At 37.1% G+C, this 21,785-nt stretch overlaps 1 protein-coding gene across 8 annotated transcripts in view; it reads right to left on the bottom strand.

Annotated features, from left to right (window-relative positions):
• The window catches only part of DACH2 (dachshund family transcription factor 2), a 684,152-nt gene that overhangs the window by 177,934 nt on the left and 484,433 nt on the right, over positions 1-21,785 (bottom strand). For all 8 annotated transcript variants that reach the window (XM_011530846.3, NM_053281.3, XM_017029254.2 and 5 more), the window contains one exon: positions 3,502-3,633. In XM_011530846.3, coding sequence (XP_011529148.1) covers positions 3,502-3,633 — 132 coding nt within the window. The remainder of the gene's footprint in view (positions 1-3,501; positions 3,634-21,785) is intronic.

Here is a 21,785-nt window from a genome sequence, read left to right as displayed (position 1 = left end):
TAGTAACTATTCTTGCTGTTGCTATTATTATTGTTTAGTGTTAATTTTATTCTTATCTATGGATTGTTTTCAGTTTCCAAGAACCCAGTAAAATATGAATTTTCCATTGATTCCCCAGAAAATTGCATCCAGGCTATGTAGAAAAAAGTCACTGTCAGCACTGGTTGAAGAGCAATTCTCATCTTATATTTCACCATGAAAATTGTAATTTTACATGAGGTGATCTACACTGTCCTGAAGTCAGAGTAGTTTCTCATACTGATTTCATTCAATAATTTTCCTCTTTAATTGCTCTTCCCATTTCCCTGCAAAATAAAGCCCCACCATGCTTGAATTTCCAGGAGCCTAGAAAAAGAGATGTAAAGCTGCTGCCAATTTACCTATCACATTATATTGAATTTAACTGCAGAGTTAGCTTGGAAATCTCTGGATCCTAAAACCATCTTTAATTGCGTTTTTTTTTTTTTTTTTTTTTTTTTTTACTAAAAATGTTTGGGAGACAGGGCCGAGATGATGAACTAGAAGCAGTTCATGTGCACGGCTCTCATGGAGAAGAAAGCAAAGGGCTAGAGACCACTGCCGTGCAGGCCAATCAACAGAGAAATCATGTCGGGATCCATCAAGGCAGCAGTCAGAAACAGAGGACAGAGAGGAACAAAGCTGGCCACCAACCTGTTAGGTATCAGCATCTTAAAAAATATTGGCTGGGCGCAGTGGCTCACACCTGTAATCCCAGCACTTTGGGAGGCCAAGGCAGGTGGATCACCTGAGGTAAGGAGTTCGAGACTAGGCTGGCCAACATGGTGAAACCCCTTCTCTACTAAAAGTACACAAATTAGCCAGGTGTGGTGATGGGTACCTGTAATCTCAGCTACTTGGGAGGCTGCGGCAGGGAGAATTGCTTGAACCCAGGAGGCAGAGGTTGTAGTGAGCCAAGATCGTGCCACTGCACTCCAGCCTGGGTGATAGAGTGAGACTCCGTCTCAAAAAAAAAAAAAAAAAAAAGGATTTTATATCCGGCCAAACTAAGCTTCATAAGCGAAGGAGAAATAAGATCCTTTTCAGACAAGCAAATGCTGAGGGAATTCATTACTGAATGGAAAAACATTTCATGTTCTTGAATAGGAAGAATCAATATTGTTAAAATAGCCAGGAGAAACTCCCAAACATGGAAAGGGTGAGTGAATGAGAGCCCCCAGGGAGGTTCATGCTCCCCACAGGGACCTGTGCAAGACTGGGAATGGGGAGTCACCCTGCTCCCCCGCACCCTTCCACCACGCTTTTAGACATCAAAGCTGAAGGCATCACATTACCTGCCTTCGAATTATATTACACGGATACAGTAAACAAAACCGCATACTACAGGTACAAAACAAACACTAGACCAATGTTACAGAATAGCTAACCCAGAAATAAAGTCACAGACCTGCAACCATCTGATCTTTAATAAAGCTGACAAAAACAAGCAATGGAAAAGGACACCCTATTCAATAAATGGTGCTGGGATAACTGGCTAGCTGTATGCCGAAGACTGAAACTGGACCCGTTCTTTACAGCATATACAAAAATCAACTCAAAGTGGATTAAATTCCTAAATATAAAACCTCGAATTGTAAAAACCTTTGGAGATAACCTAGGAAATACCATTTTGGACACAGGAATTGGCAAAGATTTCATGAAGAAGATGCCAAAAGCAATTGCAGCAAAAGTAAAACGTGAGAAATAGGACCTTATTAAAGTAAAGAGCTTCTGCACAGCAAAAGAAACTATCAACAGAGTAAGAAGGCAACCTAGAGAATGGGAGAAAATATACATCTGACAAAGGTCTAATATCAAGAATCTTCAAGGAACTGAAACAAATGTGCAAGCAAAAAACAACCCTGTTCAAATGTGGGCAAAGTACATGAACAGACACTTTTCTAAAGAAGACATACATGTGACCAAGAAGCATATGAAAAAAGCTCAACACCATTGATTATTAGAGAAATGCAAATCAAAACCACAATAAGATACCATCTCACACCAGTCAGAACGGCTATTACTATGAAGTCAAAAAATAGAGATTCTGGCAAGGTTGTAGAGAAAGGGGAAAGTTTATACATTGCTGATGGAAGTGTAAATTAGTTCAACTATTAGGGAAAGCAGTATGGTGATTCCTCAAAGAACTAAAAACAGAAGTACTCTTTGACCCAACCATCCCACTACTGGGTATACACCCAAAGGAATATAAATTGTTCTACCATGAAGACACACACGCACATATGTTCGTTGCAGCACTATTCACAATAGCAAAGACATGGAATCAACCTGAATGTCCATCAATGAGAAAGTGGATAAAGAAAATGTGGGAAATGTGCACCATGGAATACTATGCAGCAATAAAAAGCAATGAGATCATTTCCTTTGCAGGAACATGGATGGAGTGAGGCCATTATCCATGGCAAACTAATGCAGGAACATAAAATCAAATACTGCTTGTTCTCACTTATAAGTGGGAGCTAAATGATGAGAACATATGAACAGAAAAAAAGGGAACAACAGGCACTGGGGCCTACTTGAGGGAGAAGGGTGGGAGGAGGGAGAAGTTCAGAAAAGAAATAAAACTGTCAGGTACTATCTTTAGTATCCAAGTGGCAAAATAATCAGTATGTACACCAAACCCCCAAATCATGTTTTTACCCATTTAACAAACCTGAACATGTACTCCTAAACCTAAAATAAAATTAAATATTTCTTCAATCTTTCCTTTATTTATGTGTCCATCCTTCCATCATCCATTGATCCATCCATTTATCTATCCATCCATCTTTCCATCCGTCCATCCATCCATTCATGTATGTTGATAGTTATAATCCCACCTACTTTCCAAAGGGATCTGAAGGGTCTTATGATCAAGGCCAAGGTACAATGATCACGGGGTAAAAGAAAGAAACAAGTAACATGAGAGGAGAGGACTTTCCACTCTACAAGTCACCTCTGTTTTCTTTTCCTTTCATCCATCTTTTCTTCTTTGGCTGCTCCCTGTTCTACCTCTTTTCATTAGTCCCTGTTGATAATGCCTGGAGTCAGCCAGCACTTTCCTTTAGCTAAGGAAGTGGTACTCCAGCTGAAAAGACTTCAGCCCAGCCAACCTGGACTGTCAGCATTGCCTTTCAGTGGTAAATTATTTAGAATAGGATGGAATAAGAAACCTGAGGTGATGCTGAGTGGACCAGTCTTTGTCAGGCAGAGAGCACAATGGCTAACATTATAGGAATTATAATACAATTCTACCACAGCAAAACAGTGAAGATAACTAAATGTTTCCAAAATGAGATTATGACTTGTAACTGTTTTCTAATTTCAGTGTACAAATGTTAGCAATAGAGCTAATCATCCCTCTTGAGTATCTTTATAACCAAAGTAGACTTATTATTCTCTCCTCCATCCTCATCCCACCTCTCTCCTGCCCCACAATAGAACAGTAAGAGTCATTGGTCTGGGATTCTGGAAGACACTCACCTGTGTTAGAATTAAGATCATCAGGCTCTGATTCGGTCCCATTTTGGCTTCCATTTCCCTGAAGAGTGTTCATAGCCATAAGCTTCATCTTCTGAAGTTTCATCGCCTCAGCCATCGCTGCAGCTGTTATACCTAAAAGCAGAATTATTCCATTCCATTTATTTATTTATATTAATAATTTCAACTTTTATTTTAGATTTGGGGGTACAAGTGCAGGCTTTTCACATGAAAATATTGCATGATACTGAGGCTTGAGCTATGGATGATCCTTTGTAAAATGGGGATCATTTCTTAATGTAATTGAAAGCTGGATAAATTTATTTAACAGAGCTATGCTACATAGCACAAACCAAAATTAACTTGAATTTGTTAATATTTTTAACAATGTAACTTTCAATTCTTATAATTCCTTCATGCTACAATGAATAGTTTATAAATTTAGAAAAATATATATTAAATATATATCTGATCCCCAATTTGAAACACAAATAAAACAAAGATAGTAAAATGCAAATAGTTTAAAAAATTCCAAGACTCTTGCTAATGTATTCTTTTGTCTGCTAAGAGTTTTGGACAGTTATTTTGGACAGAATTCACTATGTAGTAAATTCCATCTAAAACAACATTGTCAGTGGGAGCACTCTGAAATTCTAAATGAAACCCCTTTGAGTGTGTATCCTCATTAGTGCATATCTAAAGGAACCCTTTTCTAGTGCATATCCTTGCTGGCACTTTTATAAAGGATAGGCTGCCTAGCCTATGAGGATCAGCTTAGCAGGGAGGGGGAGAAGAAGGAAAAGACTTCAGGTATTCTTTCTACCTTTTTATCTGCCTAATACTTATACACTGAGGGACCAAATGAATGAAAATATGGCATGTACCTATATAGCCAGCGTCTGTAGTATAGTTATAATCTTTTGTATTAATAAAAGTCAGATATTAAAATAAAGCTCTCAGCATAATGGTATAAAAAGGTGGGGTGTGGGGTAATGGCCATAGATTAAAAAGTGAATATGCAAGTTTGAAATTATTTCTCCTAGGAAGTCTATATCAGACAGCAACACAACCATATATAAGGAAACAAGTACTAAAAGTACCAGAACAATCCATACTCCAACGATGTCCTCCAAAAAGTCTAGTGAATTCAACTTAATTATTTTTAGATAATGTCCCTAATCATCTACTGGTACACTGCTACCATGGGCCAAAAAGAAAAATCTGGTAGATTTTGAAGGATTATTTCAGAATTCAGTAAAATTCATCCTACCATAAAAACGTGATTCAAGGAAAAGAAGGCAAATATTGGTTTTTCAAAAAAGAAACATAACTGTCATTAGAAGATCCTGATTCTAAGAGGTAAGGTGAATCCTTATCAAATATGTAAGCTGAGGTAAATACAGCCTAAACCGTCTAACTGTGTGTTTGGTAGAATAACTAAGGTTCTATTTTGCCATTCTGTACTCCTTATGATGCATAGAAAACTCGTAATGAAGCAAACTTTTCATCACATTAGATTGTCTCTAAATCATCGCAAAGAAAAAATCTGAAGGGAAATTTCCTTAGTATCTAAACTGATGATATACATTTGTACATTATCTTGATGGCCAAAGAGATTTTCTTGCCACATCTAGTTTAGCTTTATAAAATTCCAGTCCCCCAGATAACCCATTCAGCTCCCAAAGGGTATGTCTAGACAGAAAATATGATGGCAATGATTTAAACAAATGGACATTGCTTAGGATCACCATGACTGGGTGCCTCATAATCAAAACTGTATCAATAAGTTTCCAGAATTTACATTGGCTCCTCAGAACTGAATCCTGGCTATGATAATTACTGAATTAATAGGTATTTTATTATTTGTAGGGTAAATAATGGATTTCAGTGAACAATATATGCTTCCTAACTCTGAAAACTAAAGGTATACAAATATCTAAACCCTCTCACAGATAAAGAAAATTCGTTGTAAAATGTTTGTCTCCTATGATGATATTAAGAGAATTAATGAGCCAGACTCCCCACATATTTTTAATTCGTACAAAAGATTTAGAAGCTAGTTTAATTCTTCAGTTTGCAGATGAGGAAACTGAGTCTCAGATTGAACCATTATAGGTCAGTTATTTAGGTGAAGATATGGAGCAGAAGACCAAGTTTCCTGATGGAACCTAGATGTATTTGTTAAAGTCCTAAAGTAGCTCACACATGAGTTAAAAAAAAAATCTCTAAAGGATACGATCTCCTTACCACATATGGTCATGCATTTTTTGTTGTCTTTTATATAGCTCCTTACACTTTATTCAAAGTTTAGAGGTATAGCCTATATAACATATATTTTGTATTGCCTCATGGTGCAGAAAAAATTTATTTGATTTTTTATTTTATTTTTAAAAAACTACTTTACAGAGGTACAATTGAGATACAAAAATCTGTACATATATAATGTGTACAACTTGATGAGCTTGGAGCTAAGTTTATACCCATGAAACCATCACCATAATTTATACCATAATTGCAGTGACTTTAAGCTTATGAAACTCTTAAATCCTATTTGTTTAGTCTTCAGTACAGCACCTGAATATCTGTGTCTTCAGATAAAACTATACTCAAGGATAGGAAAGCAGTGGAAAAGATGTTTTGGTTCATATGAATTTTTCATAGCAATTTGGCCTTTTATTCAACTGTTCAATTAAATTCTTATCCTCAGGAAGCTTCTCAGTGTAACACTGATAGATTTAGAATAGCAGTTTAGCACCTGGCCACAAGTTCTCAAAACGCAGGTCTGGAATGATACATAAAAAGGGCAATACATAAAGCTGATTCAGGAGTTACTTAGTTAAATTTTACTTGGGAACCAAAATTTCAACTTGCACCGGACAACTAGAAAATAGTAAGTTAGATGAAAATGAAAAGATGCATTTAAAAGTGAAAGTGCTACAATATAGGTAAAAAGTCACACATACACCTAAAAGTATAAAAGTTGTCCTTTTCAGTCACTGAATCTGAAAATAACACATTTACATTATGTTCAAATTACATATATTTAAATCATTGAAATTGGTTTGGAAAGGCAGAGATTCAATGTTACTGGGAAAACATTCACATTTTGCACTTACCGATAACTGAGCATTTACTTCTGTATCCTCAATGCCTTCTATTCTTGTTCACTTAATTTCATTATTGCCTCAATGTCTAGTCACTGTAATTATTGACCAAGTCATAATGTATAGCCCTTATGGTACTCTACACTCTTCTTTTTATAATTTAAACATATTTATTAAGTTATTTGATTTGTTATTTTCTTTTTTAAAAACTACTTTACTGAGGTATGATTCAGATACAAAAAGCTGTAAATATATACTGCATGAACTTGATGAGTTTGGACATATGTATATATCCATGAGACCATTACCATAGTCTATACCATAAACCTCCATAAGTTTCTGCCTGTCCACTTTATATATTATTGTTGTTGTTTGTGTGATAAAAACATGTAACATAAGACCTACCCTCTTAGCAAAGTTTTAAGTATACAATACAGTATTGTTAACTATAGACACTATGCTGTACAGTAGATCTCTAGGACTTATTCATCTTGTACATCTGAAACTTTGCTCATCTCAACTAATAGCACCCTGTTTCCTCTTCTCCTCAGTGCACGACAACCACCATTCTAATATCTGCTTCCATGAGTTTGACTATTTTAGATTCATCATATAAGTGGTGTCATGGTGTTTGTCCCTCTGTATGACTTATTTCATTTAGCATATCATGCTTCAGGTTTATTCATGTTGTCACAAATGGGAAGATTTCATTCTTTGTAAAAGCTGAATAAAATTCCATTGTATATAATATATAAATACCAGGTTTTTTAAATCCATTCATCCATTGTTGGTCATTTAGGGTTTTTAATATATTGGCTATTGTTAATAAAGCAGCAATGAACACGGGAGTGCAGATATTTCTTTAAGATTATGATTTTACCTCATATATATTCAGAAGTGGGATCGTTGGATGGTATGATAGTTCTATTTTTAATTTTTTGAGAAACCAACATACTGTTTTCCATACTGGCTAAACCAGTTTACATTCTCACCAATATAATTGTGCAAACGTTCTCTTAATCCACATTTTCACCAATATTTCTTATATATATTTTTAAAAATAATAGTCCTATTAACAAGTGTGAGGTGATATCTCATTACGGTTTTGATTTGCATTTCCCTGATGATTAGTGATGTTGAACATGTTTTTTCATATACCTGTTGGTCATTTGTATGTCTTATTTCAAGAAAAAAAATATTTTCAGCTCTGTTGCCTATATATATATTTATTTATTTAAATATATTTAGGATGTATAAGTGTCAGTTTCATACATCCATATATTGCATAGAGATAAGGTCTTGGCTTTTAGCGTTTATTTTTTGTTATTGAGTTGCAGGATATCCTTATATATTTTGTATACTAACCCTTTGTTATATATATGATTTGAAAACATATTCCTCCATTCCGTAGGTTGCCCTTTCACTCTGTTGATTGCTTTCTTTGCTGTGTAGAAGCTTTTTAGTTTGATATAGTACCACTTCATGTTTGCTTGTGTTACCCATGCTTTTGGTGTCATATCCAAGAAATCATTGCCAAGACCAATATCAAGAAATTTTTTCCCTATGTTTTCTTCTATCAGTTTTGTCATGTCAGGTCTTATATTTAACTCCATTTTTTTTAAATAAAAGTATATATTTAAGGGTTACCAGTGCAGTTTTATGGATATATTGTGTATTGGTGAACTCTGGATTTTTAGTGTAACAATCATCCGAACAGTTTGTATTGTACCCATTAAGTAATTTCTCAACCCTCACCCCCTACCTGCCCTCCCACCCTTCTGAATCTCCAATGACTATTACTTTACACTCTATGCGCATGTATACATGTCATTTAGCTCCCACTTATAAGTGAGAACATGCAGTGTTTGAATTTTCATTTCTGACTTGTTGCACTTAAAGTAATGGCCTCCAGTTCTACGCATGTTGCTGCAAAAGACATGTCATTCTTTCTTACAGCTAAATAGTATCCCATGTTGTATGTGTAAATCATATTTTATTTCTTTTTTAAACTTTTTATTTCAGGCTTGGGGGTACATGAGAAAGTCTGTTACACAGATAAACATATGTCATGGGGGTTTGTTGTACATATTATTACATCACCCAGGTATCAATCACAGTACTCAATAGTTATCTTTTTTGCTCATATCCTCCACCACCCTCTCCCCTAAAGTAGACCTCAGTGTCTGCTGTTCCCTTCTTTGTGTTCATAAGTTCCTATCATTTAGCTCTCACTCAGAAGTGAAAACATGCAGTATTTGGTTTTCTGTTCCTGCCTTAGTTTGTTAAGGATGATAGCCTCCAGTTTCATCCATTTTCCCCAAAAAGGCATGATCTTGTTCCTTTTTATGGCTGCATAATATTCCGTAGGGTATATATACCACATTTTCTTTATCCAGTCCATCATTGATGGACATTTAAGTTGATTCCATGTCCCTAGCATTGTGAACAGTGCTGCAGTGAACATTTGCATGCATGTGCCTTTCTGGTAGAATGCTTTATATTCTTCTGGGTATATACCCAGTAATAGCATTGCTGGGTCAAATGGTAGTTTTGCTTTTAGCTCTTTGAGGAATCCCCATACTGCTTTCTACAAAGATTGAACTAATTCACACTCCCATCAACAGTGTATAAGTGTTCCCTCTTCTTTGTAACCTTGCCAGCATATGTTAATTTTTTTTCTTTTTCATGATACCCATTTTGATTTGCATTTTAATTTTGATTTGCATTTTTATAATGATCAGTGATATAGAGTTGTTTTTTCATATGCTTGTTCGCTGCATGTAGGTCTTCTTTTGAAAAGTGTCTGTTCATGTCCTTTGCCCACTTTTTAGAGGGGTTGTTTTTATCTTGTAAATTTGTTTAAGTCCCTTATAGATGCTGGATATTAGAATTTTGTCAGATGCATAGTTTGCAAATATTTTCTCCTATTCTGTAAGTTGTCTGTTTACTCTGTTGATAGGTTCTTTTGCTGTGCAGAAGCTTTGAAGTTTAATTAGATCTCATTTGTTAATGTTTGCTTTTGTTCTGCTTGCTTTTGGTGTCCTTCTCATGAAATCTTTGCCCATTCCTAGGTCCAGGATGGTATTGCCTAGGTTGTCTTCCAGGGTTTTTATAGTTTTTGGTTATACATTTAAGTCATTAATCCATATTGAGTTAATTTTTGTATATGCTTTAAGGAAGGGGTCCAGCTTCAATCTGCTCCATATGACTAGCCCAGTTATCCCAGCACCATTTATGAAATAGGGAGTCTTTTCCCCATTGCTTGTTTTTGTCAGCTATGTCAAAGATCAGATGGTCATAGATATTCACTGTTATTTCTGCACTCTCTATTTTGTTCCATTGGTCTATGCACCTGTTTTTGTACCAGTGCCACACTGTTTTGGTCATTGTAGCCTTGTAGTATAGTTTGAAGTCAGGTAATGTGATTTCTCCAGCTTTGTTCTTTTTGCTTAGAATTTCCTTGGCTATTCCAGCTCTTTTTTGGTTCCATATAAATTTATTTTTTTCTAGTTCTGTGAAGAATGTTGTTGGTAGTTTGATAGGAATAGTGTTAAATTTGTACATTGCTTTGGGCAGTCTAGCCATTTTAATTAGTTGATTCTTCCTATCCATGGGCAAGGAATGTTTTTCCATCCATTTGTGTCTTCTCTGATTTATTTGAACAGTGTTTTGTAGTCCTCATTGCAGAGATCTTCCACCTCCCTAGTTAGCTGTATTCCTAGGTATTTTAATTTCTTGTGACAATTATAAGTGGGATTGTCTTTCTGACTTGGCTCTCAGTTTGGCTGTTGTTGGTGTATAGGAACTCTAGTAATTTTTGTACATTGATTTTGTATCCTGCAACTTTGCTGAAGTTATGTGTCAGCTGAATCATATCGTCCACAAACAGAGATCGTTTGACTTCCTCTCTTCCTATTCAGATGCCCTTTTTTCTTTCCTTTGCCTGATTGCTCTGGCTAGGACTTCCAATACTATGTTGAATAGATGTGATGAAAGAGGGCATCCTTGTCTTGTTCCAGTTTTCAAGGAGAATACTTCCAGCTTTTGCACGTTCAGTATAATGTTTACTGTGGGTTTGTCATAGAAGGTTCTTATTATTTTGAAGTATGTTCCTTCAAAACCTACTTCATTGAGAGTTCTTAACATGCAGAGGTGTTGAATTTTATCAAAAACCTTTTCTACGTCTATAGAGATAATCATTTGGTTTTTGTCTTTAGTTCCGTTTATGTGATGAATCACATTTATTGATTTTTGTATGTTGAACCAACCTTGCATCCTGGGGATGAAGCCTACTTGATTATGGTGGATTAGCTTTTTGATGTGTTGCAAGATTTGGTTTGCAAATATTTTTGTGGAGGTTTTTTTTTGCATCAATATTCATCAAGGATATTCACCTGAAGTTTTCTTTTTTGTTGTGTGTCTGCCAGGTTTTGGTTTCAGGATGATGACGGTCTCTTAGAATAAGTTGGGGAGGAGTCCCTCCTCTTCAGTTGTTTGAAATAATTTCAGCAGAAATTGTGTGAGCTCTTCTTTGTACATCTGGTAGAATGTGGCTGTGATTCCATCAGGTCCTGGGCTTTTTTTGGTTGGTAGGCTTATTACTGATTCAATTTCAGAGCTCGTTATTGGTCTGTTCTGGGAATCAATTTCTTCCAGGCTCAGCCTTGGGAGGTTGTATGTGTCCAGGAACTTATCCATATCTTCTAGGTTTTCTAGTTTGTGTGTGTAGAAATGTTTGTAGTAGCTTCTGATTGTTGTTTTGATTTCTGTGGGGTCAGTAGTATCATTCCCTTCCTCATTTCTAATTGTGTTTATTTGGATCTTCTCTCTTTCTTTCTTAATTAGTCTAGCTAGTGGCCTATTTTATTTTATTTTTTTCAAAAAAAAAAAAAAACAATTCCTGGATTCACTGATCTTTTGAATGGCTTTTATGGGCCTCAGTTCCCTTCAGTTCAGCTCTGATTTTTGTTATTTCTCATCTTTTGCTAGTTTTGGGGTTGATCAGTTCTTGCTTCTCTAATTCATTCTGTTGTGAAATTAGATTGTTAATTTGAAATCTTCCTAACTTTTTTATGTGGGCATTTAGTGCTATGAATTTCCCTCTTAACACTGCCTTCTATGTGTCCCAGAGATTCTGGTATGTTGCATCTTTGTTCTCATTATTTTTAAAGAACTTATTGATTTCTGTCTTAATTTCATTATTTACCACAAATCTTTCAGGAGCATGTTGTTTAATTTTCATATAATTGTATGTTTTTTAGAGATTTTCATTGTGTTGATTTCTATTTTTATTGAGCTGTGGTCTGAAAAGGTGTTTGGAATGATTTTGGTTCTTTTCCATTTGTTGGGGATTGTTTTATGTTCAATTACTTAATTGATTTTAGAGTATGTGCCATGTGGCAATGAGAAGAATGAATATTCTGTTGTTTTAGGGTGAAGAATTCTGTGAAGGTCTATCAGATCCATTTGGTCCAATGCTGAGTTTATGTCCTCAGTATGTTTGTTCATTTTCTTCCTCAATGATCTATCTAATGCTGTCAGTGGAGTGTTGAAGTCTCCCACTCTTATTCTGTGGGAGTCTATGTTTCTTTGTATGTCTCTAAGAGCTTGCTTTCTGAATCTGGATGTTCCTGTGTTGGGTGCATATATATTTAGGATAGTTAGCTCTTCTTGTTGAATTGAACACTTTACCATTATGTAATGCTCTTCCTTGTCTTTTTTTTATCTTTATTGGTTGGAAATCTGTATTTCTGAAATTAGAGTTGCAACTCCTGTTTTTTTCTGTTTTCCATTTGCTTGATAGATTTTTCTACATCCCTTTATTTTGAGCCTATGAGTGTCATGACGTGAGGTGGATCTCTCAAAGACAGAATACTATGGGGTCTTGCTTTTTTATCCAGCTTACCACTATGTACCTTTTAAGTGGGGCATTTAGCCCATTTACATTCAAGGTTAGTATTGATATGTGTGGATTTGATATTGTCATTATGCTGTTAGCTGGTAACTATGTTGGCTTGTTTGTGTGATTGCTTTACAGTAACACTGGTCTGTGTGTTTAAGTGTGTTTTTGTCTTAGCTGGTAGTGATCTTTCCTTTCTATATTTAGTGGTCCTTTCAAGATCCCTTGTAAGACACTTCTAGTGGTAATAAAGTCCCTCAAAATTTGCTTATCTGAAGAGGATCTTATTTCTCCTTCACTTAGGAAGCTACATTTGGCTGGATATGAAATTATTGGTTGAAGATTTTTTTCTTTAAGAACGTTGAATAAATATAGGCCCCCAATCTCTTAAGACTTGTAGGATTTCAGTTGAGAGGTCTGCTGTTAGCCTGATGGGAATCCCTTTGTAGGTTACCCGCCCTTTTTCCTCAGTTGTGTTGAACATTCTTTCTTTCATTTCAATCTTGGAAAATCAGATGGTTATGTGTCTTGGGGAGTATCTTCTTGTATAGAATCTTGCAGAAGTTCTCTGTATTTGCTGAATTTGACTGTTGGCCTCTCTAGCAAGGTTGGGAAGTTTTCATGAACAATCTTCTGAAATATATATTCCAAGTTGTTTGCTTCTCCCCTTCCCTTTCAGGGGTGCCAATGATTCGTAGATTTTGCCTCTTTACATAATCCCATATTTCCTGGAGATTCTTGTCATTCATTTTTATTTTCTTTCTTTATTTTTGTCTGACTGTCTTATTTCAGAGAACCAGTCTTCAAGTTCCAGGATTCTTTTATCAACTTGGTTTATTCTGCTGCTGACACTTGTGACTGCATTGTGAAATTCTTCCATTGTGTTATTCAGCTCTGCCTGACACGTTAGGTTCTTCTTTACACTGACTGTTTTGTCCTTCAGCTCCTGTATCACTTTATTGTGATTCATATTGTCCTGGGATTGGGTTTTGCCATCCTCCTAAATCTCAATGATCTTTGTTCCTATCCATATTCTGAATTCTATTTCTGTTATTCCAGGCAGTTTTGCCTTGTTAAGAACTCTTGTTGGAGGGCTGGTGTGATCATTTGGAGAATATACGACACTCTGGCCATTTTAGTTATTAGAGTTCTTAGGCTGGTTCTTTCTCATCTCTGTGTGTGATTGTTCCTTTAATTGCAGTGTAAATTGAATACAGTCAATAGACTTCTTTTTTGGATGTTTTCACCAGGCCAAGGCTTTGTGTAGAGTCTTTATTTGAAGCTGACTTTTTGTCTCTGGTTTCAGATGGGGAAATGTTAGTAAAGTATTGTTGGGGTTGAAGCTTTGGGATGTGATCCAGCAGGTGACACTTAGCCTTACTGGTCAGTTGGTAGACCCTTGCTTGGTTGTGTGGCTCCCCTATGTTTCCTCACAGTTGCAGCTGTGTTCCCTCTCGTGCTCTGAAAGGGTGGCTTCCTCTCCCCCTTGAGTGCTTGCTGTAGTTCATGACTTGGCACTCCTTAGCTGCCCACTGCAGTTCCTAGGCGATCTCAGTGTTTATGTTCCTTCCCCAGCTCAGAGGCAGCAGATGAAGAGATCTTGGTGGTTGTGGCCAAGGGTTATTTTGCTTGACTCTTGGGGGATCTACCGCAGAGAGAGATGCAGGTGTAAGCAATCACTCCATCCAGTCAGCCCAAGAGAGAAGGTTTGTGCTTTGGGCCCAAGCCAGGGGTTTACTGTCTGGTTATGAACCGTGAGAGTTGTGTGGGGCATGGGGGAGACTGACTGGCCTCTCCTTGTGTCTGTAGCTTGTTGGAGATGTGGATAAAGCACTTAGGGTCTTTGCTTCTTCATTAGTCTGGGGGTGGCAAGGACAGTTCCACAGCAGAGGCAGTGGCAGAGAGGTTTTCAGTTGCCTTTGGAGGCTCTGTCCAGGGAGTTGCTGAGTTTGTACTGGCTCAACAGCTCTGGCGGGGGGTGGCTGGAAGCACAGGCTGGAGGGCCTGCCAGATGAGGAGATATGGGAACAGGCACGCATGTAACAATCTGGCCACTTTTCCTTAGGGCTGCTGCAGTATGCTTGGGGCCCGCTCCAGTCTCTAGTCACCTGGGATTTTCCAGAACCCAGAGGTGTCATCAGTGAAGGATGCAAAACAGCAAAGATGATAGCCTGTCCCTCCCTCTGGGAGATTTATCCCAGGGAGGTACAAACCTGTTGCTGTTCCAAAAGCACCTGTAGGAAGTGGCTGGAGACCGTAGTTGGGAGGTCCTTCTCAGTGAGGATAAATAGGATCAGGCACCCACTTAAAGCAGCAGTCTGACCATGTTTTGGTAGATCAGCTGTGCTATGCTTGAGGATCCCTTCTGCCCTGGGTCAGCTCAGAATCTTCAAAGCCTGATGGCTGGAACTACTAAGGTGCCCCAGTAGCAAAGATGGTGGCCTGCCCCTCCACCAAGGAGCTCCTTCTTAGGGAGGTGCAATGCCACTCCTGGTAGCTGGCTGGAATTCCAAACCAGTGTGTCTTATATTGTGACGTGCCTTGGAAGTGGGGCCAGTGGGTCTTATATTGTGACGTGCCTTGGAAGTGGGGCCTGCAGGCTGTTGCTTCTCAGCCCCCTGGATTCAGCCTCTTTCCTAGGGGTATGTACCATAGTCTAACCTCCACTTTGCAGGAGCTGCAGCTACCTTTGCCAGTAAGCCCAAGTATTTAAGGCTCCAGGGTCTCCAACACATGCCTGAGCAGCTGCTCAGAGCTCCATGTAGCTCTGTCTGTCAGACTGAAGACTGAAGGTCCTGGTGGACTGGGTTCACAAGGACATATCCTGACCTGAGTGTTGCAAAGATCTATGGGAGAAGTGTGGTTTCCCAGGGTCGCTCATTCATTCACCACTTCCCTGGGCAAGGCTCCATGTTGCTCCCAGGTCGGCTGTTTTCCGGTCTTGCTTTTCTTCATTCTCTGTGGGTCAAGTTGTTTCCTGGATCAATTCCAATGTGAGTACCTGGATGTTACAGTTGAAGATGTTGTGTTTACTGGCAGTTTCTCTTCCTCTCTGTTCCTCTCTGTGAGAACCACACACACTAGCTGCTTCTAGTTGGCCATCTTGGCCACTCATCGCTACCATATTTTCTTTATCCACTCATTCATTGATGGACATTTAGGTGGATTCCATATCTTTGCTATCGTGACTAGTGCTGCAATAAACATATAAGTGTAGGTATATTTTTGATATAATAATTCCTTTTCCTTTTGGTAGATACCCAGTTGTGGGACTGCTGGATTGAATGGTAGTTCTATTTTTAGTTCATTGAGAAATTTCCATACTGTTTCCATATAGATCGTACTAATTTACACACCCACTAACAGTGTATAAGCATTTCCTTTCTACATATACTCACCAACATTTGTTATCTTTTTTTCCTTTTTAAAAATAGCCAGTCTGACTGGTATAAGATAATATCTCATTATGGTATTAATTTGAATTTGTCTGATGAATAGTGACATTAAGCATTTTTTCACATGCTTGTTTGCCATTTGTATGTCTTCTTTTCAAAAGTGTCTATTCATGTCCTTTACCTGCTTGTTAATGGGGTCTTTTTTTTATTTGTTGTTGAGTTGTTTAAGTTTCTTATAAATTATGACTATCAATCCCCTGTTGGATGCAGAGTTTGCAAATATTTTCTCCCACTCTGCCAGTGGTCTGTTCACTCTGTAGATTATTTCTTTTTCTGTGCCAAATTTTTCAGTTTAATTCCCATTTGTCTATTTCTGTTTTTGTTGTTTGTGCTTTTGAGGACTTAGTCATGAATTAATTGCTTAGACAAATGTCCAGATGAGTTTCTCCTGGGTTTTCTTCGGATATTTTTATAATTTCAGGTGTTACATTTAACTCGTTAATCCATCTGGAGCTAGTTTTTTCATATGGTGAGAGACAGGGATCCAGTTTCATTCTTCGGCATATGGTAATCCAATGTTCCCAGCACCATTGAAGAGGGTGGCTGTCCGTTCCCCAGTGTATGTTTTTGTCAACTTTGTTAAACATCAGTTGGCTGTATGTACATGGCTTTATTTCTGGGATCTCTATTCTGTTCCACTGATCTCTGTGTCTGTTTTAACACCAGTTTCTTATTGTTTTCGTTAGTGTACCTCTGATGTATAATTTGGGATCAGTATTGTGATACCTCTGCCCTTGTTCTTTTTGCTTAGGATTGCCTTGGCTATTCAGGCTCCTTTTTGGTTCCACGTGAATTTTAGGAAAATGACATTGGTATTTTTTAAAATTTAACTTGTACTTTAGGTTTTGGGGTACATGTACAGGTTTAGTATGTCGGTAAATTTGTGTCACGAGGGTTTGTTATACAGATTATTTCATCACTCAGGTACTATGCCTAGTACCCATTAGTTACTTTTCCTGATCTGCTTCCTCCTCCCAAGCTCCACTCTCTAATAGGCCCCAGTATGTGTAGTTTCTCTCTATGTGTCCAGGTGTTCTCATCATTTAGCTCCCACTTATAAGTGAGGATATGTGGTATTTGCTTTTCTGCTCCTGCATTAGTTTGCTAAGGATAATGGTCTGCAAATCCATCCACGTTCATACAAAGAACATGATTTTGTTCTTTTTTATGGCTGCATAGTATTCCATGGTGTATATACACCGCATTTTCTTTAATCAGTCTACCAATGGTGGGAATTTAGGTTGATTCTGTGTCTCTACCATTGTGAATAGTGCTGCAAATGTCTTTGGGCATAATAATACCATTCAACACAGCAATCCTCTAATGGGGATTGTTGAGTTGAATAGTATATTTTTTTTGGGTCTTTGAGGAATAGCCACACTGTTTTCCATGATGGTTGAATTATCTTACACACCAACCAACAGTATATAAGTGTTCCTTTTTCTCTGAAAACTAACCAGCATCTGTTTTTTTTTTTTTTTTTTTTTTTTTTTTTTTTTTTTTTTTGGCTTTTCAGTAATAGCCATTCTGACTCATGCTACGTGGTATGTCATTGTGGTTTTGATTTGCATTTCTCTAATAATCAGTGATGTTGAGCTTTTTTTCATATGCTTCTTTTGCATGTGTGTCTTCTTTTGAAAAGTGTCTGTTCATGTCCTTTGCCCACTTTTTAATGGGGTTACTCAGTTTTTTTTTTTTTTTTGTAAATTTGTTTAAGTTTATTATAGATGCTGGATATTTGAACTTTGTCACAGGTATACTTTGAAAAAATTTTCTCCCATTCTGTAGGTTATGTGTTTACTCTGTTGATACTCTCTTTTGCTGTACAGAAGCTCTTAGTTTAATTAAATCTCATTTGTCAATTTTTGTTTTTGTTGCAATTGCTTTTGGTGTCTTTGTCATGAAATCTTTGCCCATTCCTTTGTCCAGAATGGTATTGCGTAGGTTGTATTCTAGGGTTTTTATAGTTTGGGGTGTTACATTTAAAACTTTAATCCATATTGAGTTAATTTTTGTGGATGATGTAAGAATGGGGTACAGTGTCAATCTTCTGCATACAGCTTGCCAGTTATCCCAGCATCATTTATTGAATAGGCAGTTCTTTCCCCATTGCTTGTTTTTGTCAGTGTTGTCAAAGATCAGGTAGTTGTAGTCGTGTGGCCTTATTTCTGGGCTCTCTATTCAGTTTCATTGGTCTATGTGTCTGTTTTTATACCAGAAGCATGCTGGTTTTGTTTTGTTTTGTTTGTTAGTTTGTTTATTTTGAGATGGAGTTTCACTCTTGCTGCCCAGGCTGCAATGCAATGGGGTGATCTCAGCTCACTGCAACCTCTGCCTCCCGCGTTCAAGTGATTCTGCTGTCTCAGCTTTCTGAGTAGCTGGGATTACAGGCACCCGTCACTACGCCCGGCTCATTTTTGGTATTTTTAGTAGAGATGGGGTTTCACCATGTTGGCCGGGCTGGTCTCGAACTCCTGACCTCAGGTGATCTGCCCGCCTCAGCCTCCCAAAGTGTTGAGATTACAGGTGTGAGCCATTGTGCCCAGCCTAGCATGCTGTTTTGGTTAATGTAGCCCTGTAATACAGTTTAAACTCAGGTAGCATGATCCCCCGAGCTTTGTTCCTTTTACTTAAAATTGCTTTGGCTATTTGGGCTCATTTTGGCTCCATATGAATTTTAAAATAGTTTTCTCTGGGTTTGTGAAGAATGTCATTGATAGTTTAATAGGAATAGCACTGAATCTATCAATTGCTTTGGGAAGTATGACCATTTTAAAAATATTATTTATTTCTATCCATGAGTATGGGATGTTTTTCCATTTGTTTGTGTCATCTCTGATTTCTTTGGGCAGTGTTCAGTAGTTCTTCCTACAGGGATCTTACACTTCCCTGGTTAGCTGTATTCCTAGGAATTTTATACTTTTTGTGGCAATTGTGAATGAGACTGTGTTCATGATTTGATTCTCAATTTGACTGTTGTTGGTGTATAGGAATGTTAGTAATTTTTATGCATTGATTTTGTATTTTGAGACTTCATTGAAGTTGTTTATTAGCTTAAGGAGCTTTTGGGCCAAGACTATGGGGTTTTCTAGATATAGGATCATGTCATCTGCAAACAGAGATTGCTTGACCTCCTCTCTTTCTATTGGCATGCAGTTTCTTTCTTTCTCTTGATTGATTGCTCTACCCAGCACTTCCAATATTATGCTGACTAGGAGTGGTGAGAGAGGGCATTCTTGTCTTGTGCCAGTTTTCAAGGGGAATGCTTCTGGCTTTTAACCATTAAGTATGATGTTGGCTGTGGGTTTGTCATAGATGTCTCTTACTATTTTGAGGTATGCTCCTTCAATACCTAGTTTGAGAGGTTTTTTTTTTTTTTTTTTTAACACTATGGAGTGTTAAATTTTATCCAAAGCCTTTTCTGCATCTATTGAGATAATCATCTGGTTTTGTCATCAGTTCTGTTTATATGATGAGTCACATTTATTGATTTGTGCATGTTGAAGCAACCTTGCATCCCAGGAATAAAGCCTACTTGATTGAGGTAGATAAGCTTTTTGATGTGCTGTAGAATTTGTTTTGCCAGTATTTTGTTGAGGATGTTTGCATCTGATGTTCCTCAAAGGTATTAGCCTGAAGTTTTCTTCTTTCGTTATGTCTCTACCAGGTTTTGGCATCAGGATAATGCTGGCCTTATAGAATAAGTTAGGGAGGAGTCCCTCCTTCTCAATTTTTTGGGGGAATATTTTCAGTGGGCATGGTACCAGCTCTTCTTTTTATATCTAGTGTAATTCAGCTATGAGACTTTGATATTTTGATAAAGATTGCAGGGAATCTGTAGATTGCTTTGGGCAGTACTGTCATTTTGATTACATTAATTCTTCTAATTCATGAGCATGGTATATATTTTCATTTGTTTTTGTCCTCTACAATTTCTTTCATCCATGTTTTGTAGTTTTCTTTTACAGATCTTTCATTTTCTTGGTTAAATATATTCCTAGGTATTTTAATTTTTGTAGCTATTATAAATGGGATTAATTTGGTTCTCAGCTTGATTGTTGTTGGTGTACACAAATGCCACTGATTTTCATACCTTGATTTTGTGTCCTGAAAATATACTAAATTCATTTATGAAATCTGAGTTTTTTGGTGGAGTCTTTTGGTATTCTAAATATAAGATCATGTCATCTTCAAAGTGGACCAATTTGACTTCCCTGTTTCCAATTTTAATGTCTTTTATTTCTTTCTCTTGTCTAGTTGCTCTGGCTAGAATTTTCAGTAATATGTTGAGTAGAAGGGGTGAAAGTGGGCATCCTTGTCTTATTCTAGTTCTTAGGAGGATTGCTTTCATCTTTTCCCCATTCAATATGTTGTTGGCTGTAAGTTTGTTATGTATTGCTTTTATTATTTTGATGTATGTTCTATGTTGATATGGTTTCGATTTGTCTCCCCGCCCAAACCTCATGTCAAATTGGAGGAAGTGGTGGTGGGAGGTGATTGGATAATGGGGGTGAATTTTCCGCTTGCCATTCTCCTGATAGTGAGTGAGTTCTCATGAGATCAGATGGTTTAAAGGTGTGTGGCACTTCCCCCTTCACTTGCTCTCTCTCTCCTGCTGAGCCATGGTAAGAAATGCTTGCTTCCCCTTCATCTTCCACCATGATTGTAAGTTTCCTATGGCCTCCTAGTAATGCTTCCTGTACAGCCTGTGTTAACTGTGAGTCAATTAAACCTCTTCTCTTCATAAATTACCCAGTCTCATTTGTTGAGGGTTTTTATTATGAAAGGATGCTGAATTTTATCAAATGCGTTTTTCTGCTTCTATTGAAATGGTCATGTTGTTTTTGTTTTTAATTCTGTTAATATGGTGAATCACATTTATTGATTCAGGTATGTTGTACCATGCTTCCATCTCTTGTGTAAAAACCACTTGGTCATGGTGTATTACCATTTAGTTCTGCTTCTTTTAGCTGTGTTGTTGGATTTGGTTTGCTAGTATTTTATTGAGGGTTTTTGTATCTATGTTCATTGGGGATATTGGCCTGTAGTTTTCCTTTTTTAGTTGTGTGCTTGTCTGTCTTCGGAATTCAGGAAATACTGGCCTTGTAGAAGGAGTTAGGGATTATTCCTTCATTTTAGATACTTTGAAAGAGTTTTAGGAGGATTGGTACCAGTTCTTCTATGCATGTCTGGTAGAATTCGTCCGTGAATTTATCTAGTCCCAGGATTTTTTTGTGTGTGTCGCGAGATTGTTTTTAATTATTACTGATTAAATCTTACAGCTTATTATTGGTCTGTCCAGCATTTCTTCCTTGTTCAATATTTGGAGGTTGTATATTTACAAGAATTTATCCAATTTCTCTGTTTTTTAATTTGCGAGTGTATTATATTCCTTCATAGTAGTCTCTAACGATCTTTTGTATCTCTGTGGTACCATTAGTAATGTCTCTTTTTCATTTTTAATTATGTTTATTTGGATCTTCTCTCTTCTTAGTTTGTCCAACTAGAGCTTTATCCATTTTGTTTATCTTTCAAATAACCAACATTTCATTTCCTTTATCATTTGTATTTTTTTGGTCTTTATTTCATTTAGTTCACTCTAATCTCTGTTTTTGTTTGTTTTGTTTGTTTGTTTGTTTGTTTTGGCTAGCTTTGGGTTGGGAGTTTGGTTTGCTCTTCTTTTTCTAGTTTCTTGAGGTGCAACATTTGGTTATTAATTTGTGATTTTTTTTTTGATGTAGGAATTTAACTCTATAAATTTCTCTCTTAGCAGTGCCTTTGCTGTATCCTATAGGTTTTAGTATATTGCATCTTCATTTTTGTTTTAGA

The sequence above is a fragment of the Homo sapiens genome, chromosome X (assembly GCF_000001405.40).
Source record: "Homo sapiens chromosome X, GRCh38.p14 Primary Assembly".
NCBI classification, from domain to species: Eukaryota; Metazoa; Chordata; class Mammalia; order Primates; family Hominidae; genus Homo; species Homo sapiens.
This window is presented reverse-complemented; position numbering and strand designations above follow the sequence as displayed.